This window comes from Homo sapiens, chromosome 11 (assembly GCF_000001405.40).
Source record: "Homo sapiens chromosome 11, GRCh38.p14 Primary Assembly".
Lineage (NCBI taxonomy): Eukaryota > Metazoa > Chordata > Mammalia > Primates > Hominidae > Homo > Homo sapiens.
In genome coordinates, this window is record NC_000011.10 from 20,775,742 (window position 1) to 20,789,688 (window position 13,947).

Genomic DNA, 13,947 nt, shown 5'->3' on the forward strand with positions numbered 1-13,947 from the left:
AGAGCTCATCTGCCTTATAGTACCTAATTAGCAAAATTATGGGGGTACCAGAATCTCTTTTGATCGAATGGCACAGTAATTACAAAAAATTGGTTAATACCATGTGTCACAGGATGCCTTAGGTTTAGTCCCCTAATGGAGGAGTTAGGGACATTGAACTGGCTTTATTATTCCTTAGGCAGCTCATTACTTGAATGTACTTTTTCTCAACAGGTTTGGGTTATATTTGTGTGTATTTGGTAAACCTTTTTTTCTTATATTGTGTTCCAGACTTTGGAGCCAAGATGTAGTTTATTAATGTGACAAAGATTTGAGGCTTAACCAGGTACCAGGCACTGTGCTTGGTGTAGTGTACATGTTGGTAGGCAATTCTTCATGGAACTTACAGTCCAGTGGGGAATAAATATAGCACTTGGCTGGGGGCCGTGGCTCATGCTTGTAATCCCGGCACTTTGGGAGGCCAAGGTGGGTGGATCACCTGAGCCCAGGAGTTCAAGACCAGCCTGAGCAACATGGCGAAACCCCATCTTCTACCAAAAATACAAAAATTAGCCAGGTGTGGTGATGGGCGCCTGTAGTCCCAGCTACTTGGGAGGCTGAGGCAGGAGAATCGCTTGAACCCGGGAGGTGGAGGTTGCAGTGAGCCAAGATCACACCACGATCCAGCCTGGGCAACAGCCTGGGTGACAGAGTGAGATACTGTCTCAAAAAAATAAATAAAAATAAAATAAAATTTTATATATATATATCACTTAATAAAATGATTACACATGTAAATGATTCTATACATAATCTCTGACAATTGTGATAAGTACAATGAAGATAAATAAAGACAGGAACCTGAGTTGGCCTGGGGTGGTCAGAGAAAACTGGTCTGAGGAGTAGCAATTAAACTGTTATCAGAAAAGGAGGGAGAGAAGACAGGTTGCTGCAGATGGGAGTGTACCAAAATGGGTAGGAACGTGGCCCTGGGAAGAAGGGATATTAGTTAGGCTTGTGGTGCTAGAATGCGGGAGTGTGGGCTGTGGGGGAGAGGAAAGGGAGGAGGATGAAAAATAAGCAGAAGCATCAGTTGAATGCCATGGAATATCACAGTCGACTCTGCTGGGGCAAGAGTCAGCTTTGTCTCCACTCGTCATGTGACCTTGGGCAAGTCATGAAACCTCTCTGTGCCTCAGTTCCTTCACCTGTAAAATGGAGATGTGTTGGTATTTACCTCATAAGGGTTGTACAAATAGATTGTTCATTCATTTATTCAATAAATATTTCCTGAGTGAACACAAAAGTGCCAGGCACTGGGTGTATCATGGTGATTTACCCTTGATTTATATCAAGCACTGAGATCACACATTTTGGTGAATAGCAGGTGTAACACAGTTAAGAGTGTAGCTCATGGAACCAGCTTTCCAGGTTGAAATCTCAGCACCAAGCCTTCCTAGCCCAGTGTCCTTTAGAACATTATTTAAATTCTGTAAGCTTTAGTTTGGTCATCTGTAAAGTAGGAATAATAATAATAATGTCTTCTAAAGTTATTGTAAGTGCGATGACATGTGCAGGGCATTAGCCCTGCCCTTGGCACAGTAATAAGATATACAGGTTTGATTTCTCTCATTCCGGCTTCTGGAACAAATGGAGGTTTAATGGAATATTATTGTGAACTTGTTAGTGGAGATGAAAGTCCCTTACACGTTAACTGGGAGTCTTCTAGTGACTTCTGTTTTTTTGAAAGCTGCTTGGATCAATAACATCTGACATCCTTAAAGAAGGGTCACAAGACCAAATAGTGGGACATGTGCCTCCCATCCTCCAAAACCAGAAATTGCCTCACTGATGGTTGGCAGTTCTGAATTGACAAATTTCCTCTACATTCAGAAATGAAAAGCCAACTGTCATTTCAAATTAAGAAATGTTGCTTTACCTTTTGGGGCCATTCTTACCATGAGCTTATGTGGCACTCAGGCTAGAAGGTTGTGGCCTGTCTATATCAGGAGTTTGCTATATTTTGAGGTTCACAGTGTAATTACTGAAATGTTGCCTGCATTCTCTACCAGTCAAGGCTGAGGCGGGCTGCCTTGGTGCATTTTTTGTTTATATGTTTCTGGCTGCTGCTGCTTTTCCCACCTTGATTTGCTGATTCTTCGCTGTGAACTGGTGGGGATTCTGCCTCTTGGTCTGCTTTGTGCTAATGTGGTACCCCTTGGCCAATCAGGGGCCTGAGAATTTGCTCCAATATTAGGTTAAGTAGATGCTTTCTCTGCTGAACTTGTAGTAAGAGATACACTTGCAGAAAAAGAAAAATGCCAGGGTAATGTATAACACGTGAGTTCACAGCCATACGATGCTGCTGCAGTGAGTGCCCTCTTCTCCCTCTCTCCTGCCTAGTAAGTGCTTATTCATGTTTTTAGAGTCAGGTTCAATTATATCCTCCATGATGTTATCCCCAATCTCTATGGGCCTCCTCTGTTTTTTTGTGCACTGCCCTATTCTGCAACTATTGTCATAAGGAAACTGTCTTGCTTACGTGTCTATCCTCTAGGGCAGAAACTGTGTTTTTACTTTTATTTCCCCAGTGCCAACCACAGTGCCTGGCATAGGGGAAGCAAGGTATATGCTTGTTGACAATGAAATTCACCACCATCCTCACTCTATACATCAGGGAAGAGGGAAATGAAGTTGCTTCTATTTGAGGCAGAGAAGAGTGTGTGTTTACCTCATTTAATTTCTTTCCTTCTCCAATCTCCTCCCTTCACCCAGCACTTTTTTTTTTTTTTTTTTTTTTTTGCTGATGTTTAATCATCATATTAGCATTTTTAGTCTTTCTTTAAAAATGACTAGGTAGAGCCGTCTTATCCTGGGAAAGAAAAAGCACTTCACTCTTGCTGCTGAGTTAGCACTTCTTAACTAGAACATGCAAAACCTGAGCATTTGGAACGCCATTTTCCCCCGTTTTAAAAATGTGAAATATTCACTTTAAGTGGTTGTTGTGTGCGAAACTACCTTTATGCAATGGTAGCCTCCAAGTACACCCCCAGGGTTACAAAATGGAAAGCCTCACGGACAGACTAAATTCAAATACTTGAATCATGTTTAAAATATCTAGGAGGAAACAGGGGAAAGAGATGGAGTAGGTTAACACATGTAGGATTGAGTGTGAGCAGTGGGAAGCACCAGCCCACCCAGTTCCTGTGTTATTCATTGCTCATATATTCTGTTTTTTTTCTCTCTCTCTCTGCTGCATCAGCTTCTTTGATGATGGTGTGATTATGAGGACTGGAGCTGAGGTTAACGAAAAGGGAGGGGGCTCAGCAAATGGGAGGTTTCCAGAGCCCACATGCTTCCTCTATTGGAAATACTCAGAAGCAAGTAATCCTGGCTACAACTGTAATTCACCAGTTAATTTGGTGAGCAGTGATGGGTTTTATTAGCATTTCTCAAGGATAGTATATGTGGGGCCAGAATGGAAATGAAATGGATGTCAATGATGGGTGTTGGTTTAGGGATGACATGACTGTCATTCTGAAGGTGGCATGATACGCACATTATGACTTGGTCCTCCCATCCCATTGTACTTGTAAGTAACACTCTTATTCAATCCTTTTTATCTGTGTTCAACACACTTATGTTCCACGTATTCAATCTATGTTTAGCATGTTTCACAGGTTTCTAACTTGCTCTCTATATTTAGCACTTCTTATGGGCTTTATCTGTCCCATTTGTTTTTCCTGTTATCTCTAGCAGAATTGAATATTCTTAAGTAATACAGCAAATACATACTGTAGTGGTTGAATATGGAAGTACAATATTCACTATAGGTTCCCATTAATTGGGTTTCATTGGTTGCTCTTTTAACTCCAGGAAAAAAGCAGGCTGCTGCAAAGTAGGTGACATATCACTATTTTTAAGAGTTGACAACTTTATGTTTTATGTTAATTTGGAAAATCAGCAGAGGAGAAAAATTGTAGAATCTAGGTTTCTTAATAGATGGAATTTGCTCTCAGTGCTCTCTTTTGCTATGCAGCTATGAGCAGGATCAAGTGATTAACTGAAATGAAATGTCAAGACTAGGAAAGAACTTGGAGATCATGGAATTTAGTGGTCTTAATTTTCAGATGTAGAGTGTGAGGTTCAGAGAGGTAAGGTACTTTATCCAAAGTCACACAGCTAGTCATCTGCAAAACTCAAAGTGATCTCAGTCCTTTGAAACCTGTCCAGTGTTTCTGCCTGCATATTGTAAGAAATAGAATTACTTTGTTGGTGTTTTTTTAACATCTGGATCATGGTCAAAATTTACTTGAAAGGGCTTCTCTGAGAGTGAGAATGCACATAAAGCCTCAGTGTATCAAAACAGGTGTTTCTTACATTTCACTCTAGTGAGTGCTAATGGGGTCTCTTTACTTCAGTGTGCCAATCATTTTTAAAAAGAAATAAGAAAAGTCAACATAAGAAATGTTTCATTTTCTTGGAGGATTGAGTGAGCAGAAGTTTGGTAGGACTAGATCAGACTGTTAAGTGGGGGTGTCCTGCAAAGAAGTGGGGTTTATTTAGCACCAAACATCATTACAATAAATTTTCATGGCCATGAGCATTTGAGAAGGACCCATTTATCTCCTGGTTTTCCAAAAGATATATTACTTTCTGACTATAATATATATGGTTACTTGAAGTAACAATATAAATGAGAAAAATAAATGGAAAATACATTAATTAATTCAGTAAACCTTTATTGGATGCCTGTTTTGTGCCAGGCACTAAGAATTGTGGATAAAACAATGGATAAATAAGTATGCCTGCCCTCATGGAACTTACAGTCTAGTGGGAAAAGAAAGGAAATAATATGAGGTAACAAGCTTGAAACAAGACTGTGATAAATAATATCAGCAAATAATAAATGGATTACAATACATATATTATGACAAGTCAAATGAAGAAAATACCCAGACTGGAGCATTAGAGAGACATTAATGCAGAGTCTGCCTTGGAGAGGCCAGAAGATTGCATTTACAGTGAAAGCTGAAGGAGAAGGAGTCAGGGACGTGAAAAGGAGAGAGAAGAGCACTGTGGGCAGAGGGACAAGCATGAAGATCTGAGGTGGGAGTGGGCCTGGTGTGCTCCTCTAGTAACCAAGGAGAAGAGTGTGAATGGGGTGGGAAAGGCAGGCAAGAATCAGTTTGTGTGCAACTTTGCAGGCATGCTGAAGGGACTGGATTTTATCCTATGAGCAATGGGAAGCCATTGGAGGATTTTAAGCAGGAGGCTGAAATGACTCGGACTTAGGGTTTAAAAAGAGCACGTTAACTACAGTGTGAAGAATGGTGAAAAGAAGGCAGTATGGAAGCAGGAAGGAGATCATTGGAAGTGCCCTAGGGAGCAATGATAGTGGCTTGGGCAAGAGTTTTAAGAGTGAAGTTGGGAAGAAGTGGACAGATTCCAGACATGGGAGCCCACTTAACTTGTTTTTAGACTGGATATGGAGAGTGGAGAAAAGGGAAAAATCAAGGGCAATTTCTAGTTTTTTGACTTGAGGAACAGGGTGTGACCGTTTACTAAGACTGGGACCTTTGTGAGAAAATTGAGAGTGGCGGGAAGAGAACAGGCTTCACTGTAGGCACATTACAATTTGAAATGCTTGAAGGTGAACGTTTGAATTTACTGCATAAGGGAGAGGTTAGGGCTGCAGATATAAAGTTGGAGGCCATTGGCCATGGGGTTGGATGATATCACTCAGGGAGAACTGAGTGAGAGATGACGATACCCATAGCTGATAGGATATTCATATCCATTTCCTCCAGCAGGCATTGCTGATCGCTTATGGCTGTCTTTTCTTTGGGCCCAAGCTTTACAATCCTGAAATTCAGGCATCTGCTACCAATCAGTTGATTTCTAATTGATGAGTAAAGAAGAAAAAAGTAAAAAGTAAACATATAACTTAATTTTAAGACTTGAATTTTTTTTGGCATTACTTGTAGGTAAATTTATTAAGATGATCTTTGCTTAGAAGTAATGATAATAGGGTGCAGTGGCTCACACTTGTAATCCCAGCACTTTGGAAGGCCAAGGTGGGTGGATCCCCTGAGCTCAGGAGTTCAAGACCAGCCTGGGCAACATGGGGAAACCCTGTCTCTACCAAAAATACAAAAAAAAAAAAAAAAAAAAAGGCGGGCATGGTGGCACACACCTGTGGTCCCAACTACTTGGGAGGCTGAAGTGGGAGATCGCTTGAGCCCGGGAGGTGGAGGTTGCAGTGAGCCGAGATCATGCCACTGCACTTCAACCTGGTGACAGAGTGAGACCCTCATCTCAAAAAAAAAAAAATAATAATGATAATAAAAATAATATTAACAAACATTTTCTAATACTCTTTAGTTTACAGAGTGATTTGCTCACACATTTAATAGGTTTTAAATGTCATCTGGAATATCTTTGGCTGGGATTTTGTAGAAGGCATAGAAGCATTTTTCAAGATGCTATCTCTTTTCTCAACACTTGATAAAAGCTGACAGCATGCCACTTAAGAATTAAGTAGCGAAGGCCTTGCTACTATTGTGCAGGTAGGTTTTATACTGGTAGACTGGTCTGCCTGGGTTGGGTGTCTCCATGGTGGAGGACAAACATTGCTTTCTGCGATTCATACCCTAGATACTTGCAGATGGGAAAGACTGTGCTGTTCTTTTCTGTGTTATAAAATTGAAGCAGCAATTCAAAAAATTATAGAAGGCTAAGGTGGGAAGGTTCTAAGAGATCACCTAGTCTACCCCCTCATTTTGCAGATGAGGGGACTGAGGCCCGAGGTCAAGAATTGAAGGATATCTTATTCAGAAGCCATTCTTTAGGATGAGATTCTTCAAGGTCCGTATACCAGTCTGTGATATTGCTTGGGCAGTGCAGCATTTGAAGTTCTATGTTTTTCAAGGGCTTCCCATGTAGTCCTGGAGAAATAACCATGTAGTTATCTTGCAGTCAGAGGAGATGGTCAGGATGTGAGAGGAGGTCACCAAACACACTTCTAATGTTCATTTATCATCCTCTGAATAATCTTCTCTAACTTTGCTCCCTTAGTGCCCCTTTCTGATGCCAGAAAAATGTAGTGTAAAATAATGAGATAACACCCAGTTTATCATGACAAGGGTGAGTCTGGGTATGAAGTGATGGATGTCTCTTGTTATGCTGATATTGGAGAAAGAAACATTCTTGTCTAGGAGCAGGATTAGCTGGAATCACACACCTCTAGGCCTGCTGAATCGGCCTCAACTTCAATAAATATTTCATGAGGAAAGTCATCCATTGCATGCTTATGGAGAAATTCCAGGCACGGGTGTGGAGCATGAGCATGCCTTGTATTTATTCGTTAAGCAAAGGCAGAGTTGTCTGGCATTATTAGTGCTAGTAAATATCTGCTAGGTACAAAGCAAGGACAGGTTTCCTATATCCATTGTGGGGAGAAGGAAGCTGTGTCCATGGAAAAAGTGAAATTGGAGGATGCTGAGTGGCATTTGGGTCTTATTATCCCAAGATTCTCTGAATTTAGGACCACATTTATCCGACTACCTCTCACCTTATTTACAGCAACCTAATCTGTTTGCAGCAAACTGAATTGCTCAGCGTCCCGTCAAAATTCCTGCCAGAAAATCACTGTCTGGCCAATTGGGAACTTGTCAAAGTGACAAGTGGGCATGGTGACAGAGACAGCATTTCCGGGATTTGCATTGAATGAATGCAGCTGTAGGGAGTGGGGAATGGTGCCTGAAAATGAAAACTATTGACAGAAGAGGAAAATGAAACTTGCAATCTGGATTCTTTGGACATGACATTTTTAACCATGGATCTTTTTTCCTCTTCCTTCTCATCTCCCCTCTCCTCTTTCTCCTATATTTCTTCTCTACTCCTTCTCCTTCCTCTTCTCCTCTCCTGTTTCCTCCTGCTTTTCTTCTTGATTCCTAGACATAGAAAGAGAGATCCATGCAGCTCCTCATGTGAGTGAGAAATTAATTCAGCTGTTCCGGAACAAGAGTGAATTCACCATTTTGGCCACTGTACAGCAGAAGCCATCCACTTCAGGAGTGATACTGTCCATTCGAGAACTGGAGCACAGGTAAGAAAGCTCTTTCTGCTTTTGAAAATCTCCTTAGAGTTAATGGGTTATACAAAATGTCTTGGGATTTAGAGTTTGTAGCCCCATGAAAACTTTCATCTAACTGAGGCCTCATTTCTGTTGAACACATTCATGAATTTACTTTGCATTAAGAATTTACTTTGGTCAAAGTGGCTTTCTTGTTTGCTCTCCAAGGACCAATCATGAGTATCTTTCTCGTCTGTCTTCTGGTAGACTTTGAATAAAATCACATTCTGTCATATTTAGTCATCAAGCAAGTTAGTTAGTTATGTTTAACAACCTTCAATAAACATTTACAGTGTGTTTATGTGGGGATTATACTTGACACTGGGAATATTAAGGTGAATAGTGTATGATCTTCATCGCAAAGATCACATAAGCTAGTAGGGAAGATAGACAAATAAATATAATAAAGTATTGAAGATGCAATGCCAGAAGGTTGTAATCAGGAAATAAAGGTAAGAGCAGTCATTCTGCTAAGTGTTGTGGTAGCCAAGAAATGCTTTGGAAAAGAAGATAGTTGTATAAGGAAAAAAATGTGAGTATTCTACATGCTGAATGCGAAGGAGTAAGGGATGGAAGAATAACATTTCAGAAAGAGGTTGCTATGATTTTAAGAAGCAACACATGGGTAGGTAAGTCGTTGGAACATAAAAGTGTGTATGGGGAAGGGATGAGAGTTTGGGGTGGGCGATGGGGCTGGTATTATAGAGGTAGGTAGAAGCCAGATCATCGCAAAGCTTCAATGCCATGTTAAAAACTTGTACTGAAGTCCCCTAGGCAATGGGTTTTAAGTTTAAGAAAGATCACTCAATCATTGAATTCAAATTAATAATCATTAGGTAACCTAAACAATTTTATTTTTTAATACTGGGTTCCTCTGTATTAGTCCACTGAAAATATTTATGAAGCACCTACTCTGTTCTAGGTGCCATGCGAGGTTTTGTGGAGAAATCAAAGGAACAAAATCTTCTAAGCATGTATGGTGGAGTTTGGCAATGCAGGAAACAAGGCATAACCACACAAAAAGCTGAAGAATAAAAAAGAGTCAATAATAAAGAAATAGTAGATTGGTGTTACAATGAAGTATGGAGCTAATTTCAAAATTACATAAATGTGTTAAGTTCACTGAATTAAATGCATTAGGTTAGTGGTTGAGGAAGACCATACAGAGAGAGTGCTCTTGAAGCACAGGCAGAATTCCAGCAGGTAAGGGAAGAAGGGTGTTACATCAAACAGAAGGAACAGTGTGCACAGTCACAGAGGTGAAGAAATATAGAGAAATGCAATTTTGGGAGTGGGAGCAGCAAACAGACCAATTTGGCTGGAACAGAGGCTCTTTCTATGCAGACTTTTGGTAGTTGTAAGGATCAACAGTTTTGTCTTTAATGGTTGTTTGTTCTCAGCCTCAAAGCGTGGTGATGGACCCTGATCATTTTGTGGGGGTGTTGTCATTACAATCTGGCTGTTCTGGGTCAGCCCAGAGAAAGCAAGGTGATGTACATGTCTGTGAGAGATATGGGTTCGTTCAAAGGTGTTCTGTATGCTGGAGAAAGGTATAGGTTCTCATTTTCCAAGGATTGAGTGTCAAGGCAAGTCTCAGCTTCACAACCCTACCTTGCCCTATTGGCCTTGTGGGGTTGGGTGTGAATGCTTCTTTGGTATGAGGGTTATACAAATGCCCAAAGTAGGAGGTAGATCTTGAGATACTTCTCAATGAATGCAGAGGAGAGCTTCCCACAGCAGGTGAGAAGCATGTGAAACAGTTGCTATTATATTAGAAAGAGCACAGGTTTCAGAGTCAGTCTGATGGAGGCTGGAGTTCCAGTTCTAGCTTTGTGACACCAGCTCTTCAATGTCTTGGAACTTCAATTTCCTTGTCTGTAAAATGTGTGTAATAATCTATTTTCCCGGGCTGCTCTAAGGAAGAAAAAGGATTGTGCATGGTGAGTGGCCATCCCTTGACACATATACATTTATTCTCCTTGTCTAAGTGTGTTTTGAAACTGTATTTGCAGGGTTTCTCTTTTGGATTTTTTTTTCAATAGGAAAGGTTTTAAAAAAACTTTTTTGTTGCCATGTGAGGCTGTCTTTTATATCCCTAGTAGGTTTCTAATAGAGCCCAAGGATGATTGATAGGAGAGTCATTTGATCATTTTTCATTGTAATAGAAAAACTTCAGAATTTTTTTTTTTTTTTTTTGAGAAAGGGAGAAGAGGCTGGGCACTGTGGCTCATGCCTGTAATCCCGGCACTTTGGGAGGCCAAGAAGGGCGGATCACCTGAGGTCAGGAGTTCAAGACCAGCTGACCGACATGGTGAAACCCCGTCTCCACTTAAAATACAAAAATTAGCTGGGTGTGGTAGTGCATGCCTGTAATCCCAGCTACTCGGGAGGCTGAGGCAGGAGAATCGCTTGAACTCAGGAGGCTGAGGTTGCAGTGAGCCAAGATTGCACCATCGCACACCAGCCTGGGCAACAAGAGCAAAACCCCATCTCAAAAAAAAAAAGAAAAAAAAAGGCGGGGGGAGAAGAAAACCGTGTACAGGGGTTGAATGCCTTTAGCCAAAGAAGGTGAGGCATAGAGGTCTCTTACCACTAGGGAATATATCTGAGTCACACAGCACCAAAGTATATTAGCAGTAGAAATTATCTGAGTCACAAGACACCAAAGTGTGTTGGCAGTGGAGGGTATCCAAGTTACATGCCACCAAAATATGTTACTGGGGGCAAATCCATATGGGTCTACAGCAAGACCCATATGGATTTTCTTCTTGTGTCCTCAGAAGAAAAATTTATCTGAGGGGCATAAGGCAGAAGGAGAGACCGAGGCAAGTTTTAAAGCAGGAGTGAAAGTTTATTAAAAAGCTTTAGAGGCCAGGCGCGGTGGTTTACACCTGTAATCCCAGCACTTTGGGAGGCCAAGGTGGGCATATCACAAGGTCAGGAGATCGAGACCATCCTGGCTAACACGGTGAAACCCCGTCTCTACTAAAAATACAAAAAATTAGCCGGGCATGGTGGCGGGCGCCTGTAGTCCCAGCTACTTGGGAGGCTGAGGCAGGAGAATGGTATGAACCCGGGAGGTGGAGCTTGCCGTGAGCCGAGATGGCGCCACTGCACTCCAGCCTAGGCGAAAGAGCGAGACTCCGTCTCAAAAAAAAAAAAAAAAAAAAAAAAGGAAGGAAGGAAAGTACACTTGCAAGAGAGCCAAGCAGGCACCATGAAAGACAAGTACGAAAAATCTCAAACCTCAGATCCTGACTGCTAAACAAAATAAATATGAAGAAGTAGATACTAGATCCCCTCTCCCTCTGGACTTTATGATGCCCTGTTCCATGTGTGTGTAGTCTGACAAGGCAAGGTATGAAAGACTGTGGATTTGTAATGTAATGGCTGGGGGTAATAGAGAAAACCTGGTTTCTACTCTAGTAGAGAAGATCTACTTAAGGAGACTGGAATGTAAGAAAATAGAGAAGAATATATAATGGCATATATTTAGAAATTAGTCTATTCATTATAACTCTCCTCCCCTCGCCAAATGTTCCCATCTGCAATAAGTGAGAATCTTTCATAATTTTCAGGTTACTTTTATTATTTACCAGGATAAAAGTATCTAGAGGAGCAAATTATCCTGTAGAAATTTGGCATGGACATTTGACCACGTATATAAGTTGACCAAGGATTTGGGGCTTTTCTTTATTCAATAGCAGAAGATCCAGGTATGTGGTAGATAGATTGTTGGCTTAAAAATCAGACACCCAGGTTCTTTTTGTGATTCTCCCTTATGTGATTCTGATTGTATTACTAGTGATGAAGATAAGTTAAATAAGTATTTGAAACAATTGGGATGTGATGGGCATTATTAGATTCCTAGATAATTTTTTATTTTTATAATTCAGTAGCTTTTAGTATAATCACAGAATTGTGCATTCATCACCACAATCAATTTTAGAAATGCTCATTACCCTCAAAAGAAATCCCATACCTTTTAGCTGTCACCCACAATTTCCCCATAAGCTCCCAAGCCTTAGGCAACCACTAATCTACTTTCTGTCTCTGTAGATTTGCCTATTTTGGTTATTTCATATAAGTGAAATCATACACTGTGTATCCCTTTTTGACTGGCTTCTCTAACTTAGAATAATGCTTTCGAGGTTCATTCATATTGTAGCTTATGTCAGTAGTTCACTTCTTTTTATTGCAGAATAATGTTACATTGTTTGGATATAATACATTATAGATATCCATTTATCAGTTGGTGGACATTTGAATTGTTTCCACTCTTGGCTATTATGAATAATGCTGCTATGAACATTTATGTACAAGCTATTGTGTGGACATGTTTTTATTTCCTTGGGTATATGACTAGGACTGGAATTGCTGGATCAGATGGAAACTCTGTTTAACTGTTTGAGGAACTGCCAGACTTGTCCAAAGTGACTACACTGTTTTACATTCCCCGAAGCAGCGTTTGAGGGTTTCGATTTTTCCACATCCTTGTCAACACTAGTTATTATCTTTCTTTTTGATGATAGACATTCTAATGTGTATGGAGTGATACCTTACTGTGGTTTTGAGTTGCATTTGCTTGATGGCTAAATGATGTTGAGTATCTTTTCATAAGCTTATTGACGATTTGTGTATCTTTGGAGAAATGTATATTCAGATAATTTGCCCACATTTAATTGGATTCTTTGTCTTTCTATCATTGATTTGTAATAATCATGTATGTTTTAGAGGCAGTCACTTATGATTTACAGTTTTTTCCCCCATTCTGTGGGCGATCTTTTCATTTTCTTGGTGGTGTCCTTTAAGCACAAAGGTTTTAAAATTTGATGATGTCCAATTTTTTTTTATTTTTTATTTTTTGTGATTCTGATGTCATATTTTTGCCTAATTCAAAGTAATGAAGAGTTACTCCTATGTTTTCTTCTAAAAGTTTTATAGGTTTAGCTCTTACATTTATCTCTTAGATATATTTTGAGTTACTTTCTTCTAAAAGTTTTATAGGCTTAGCTCTCACATTTATCTCTTAGATGTATTTTGAGTTAGTTTTTATATATCATGTGAGGTAGGGGTCCAACTTTATTCTTTTGCATATGAATATCCAATTGTTTCTTCACCACTTGTTGAAGACTGCTTTTCTTCCAGTGAATTGTATTGGCACCCTGTTGAAGATCAATTGACCATAAATATGAGGGCTTATTTCTGGTCTCTTACTGCTATGGAATCTTTGGGGTGTTGCTTTTCTGACCAGAAACCTGTGGCTGGTGGTGCCTTTGCCCGAGTTTTGCTAGGGCCCACTGGGCTCGTTCTACCCACTCGGCCTGGCAGGCTGCACTCAGCTCATGGTACTGGCCTAGGTGTCATGCCTCCAAGGGAGATGGGAGTCAGGCATGGAGCAGCAAGGGGTGTGTGAGTGAGCAAGGGGTCTGGCCCCTGCACATTCAGATACACCGGCTGCTGCCACGGGGTGGGCAGCTCCAGGTACCGGCAGGGTTACCAACTCTCTGTGAGGTTGTGGCTGGACCAGGTACACCTCAAGCAGCTTCCACCAGCACCGGGGAACACGGTGGCACCTGGAAGCTTGGAGACACCAGGAACTGCAAGGCCCCAAAGAGGGAGTCACAGCCCTGGCTCGGGGAGCCCAGGTCTGTGCTCCCCAAAGGGCTGCAGCTCTTCTCTTCTCTCCTCTTTGCCCCCAATGTGGCAAGCAAGGAGAATGTTTCAGTCCTGTTTGTGTTACATCTTTTTTAGCCTCATTCAGTGAGTCCCAAGTTCTTGTCCTGCAACCAGGAAGAATGAGGTACACAGACAAGTGGAGAGTGAGCAAG

The 13,947-nt window shown here is 40.9% G+C and overlaps 1 protein-coding gene across 4 annotated transcripts in view; it reads left to right on the forward strand.

Annotated features, from left to right (window-relative positions):
• Positions 1-13,947, forward strand: part of NELL1 (neural EGFL like 1) — a 906,136-nt gene that overhangs the window by 106,191 nt on the left and 785,998 nt on the right. For all 4 annotated transcript variants that reach the window (NM_001288713.1, NM_201551.2, NM_001288714.1 and 1 more), the window contains one exon: positions 7,939-8,089. In NM_001288713.1, coding sequence (NP_001275642.1) covers positions 7,939-8,089 — 151 coding nt within the window. The remainder of the gene's footprint in view (positions 1-7,938; positions 8,090-13,947) is intronic.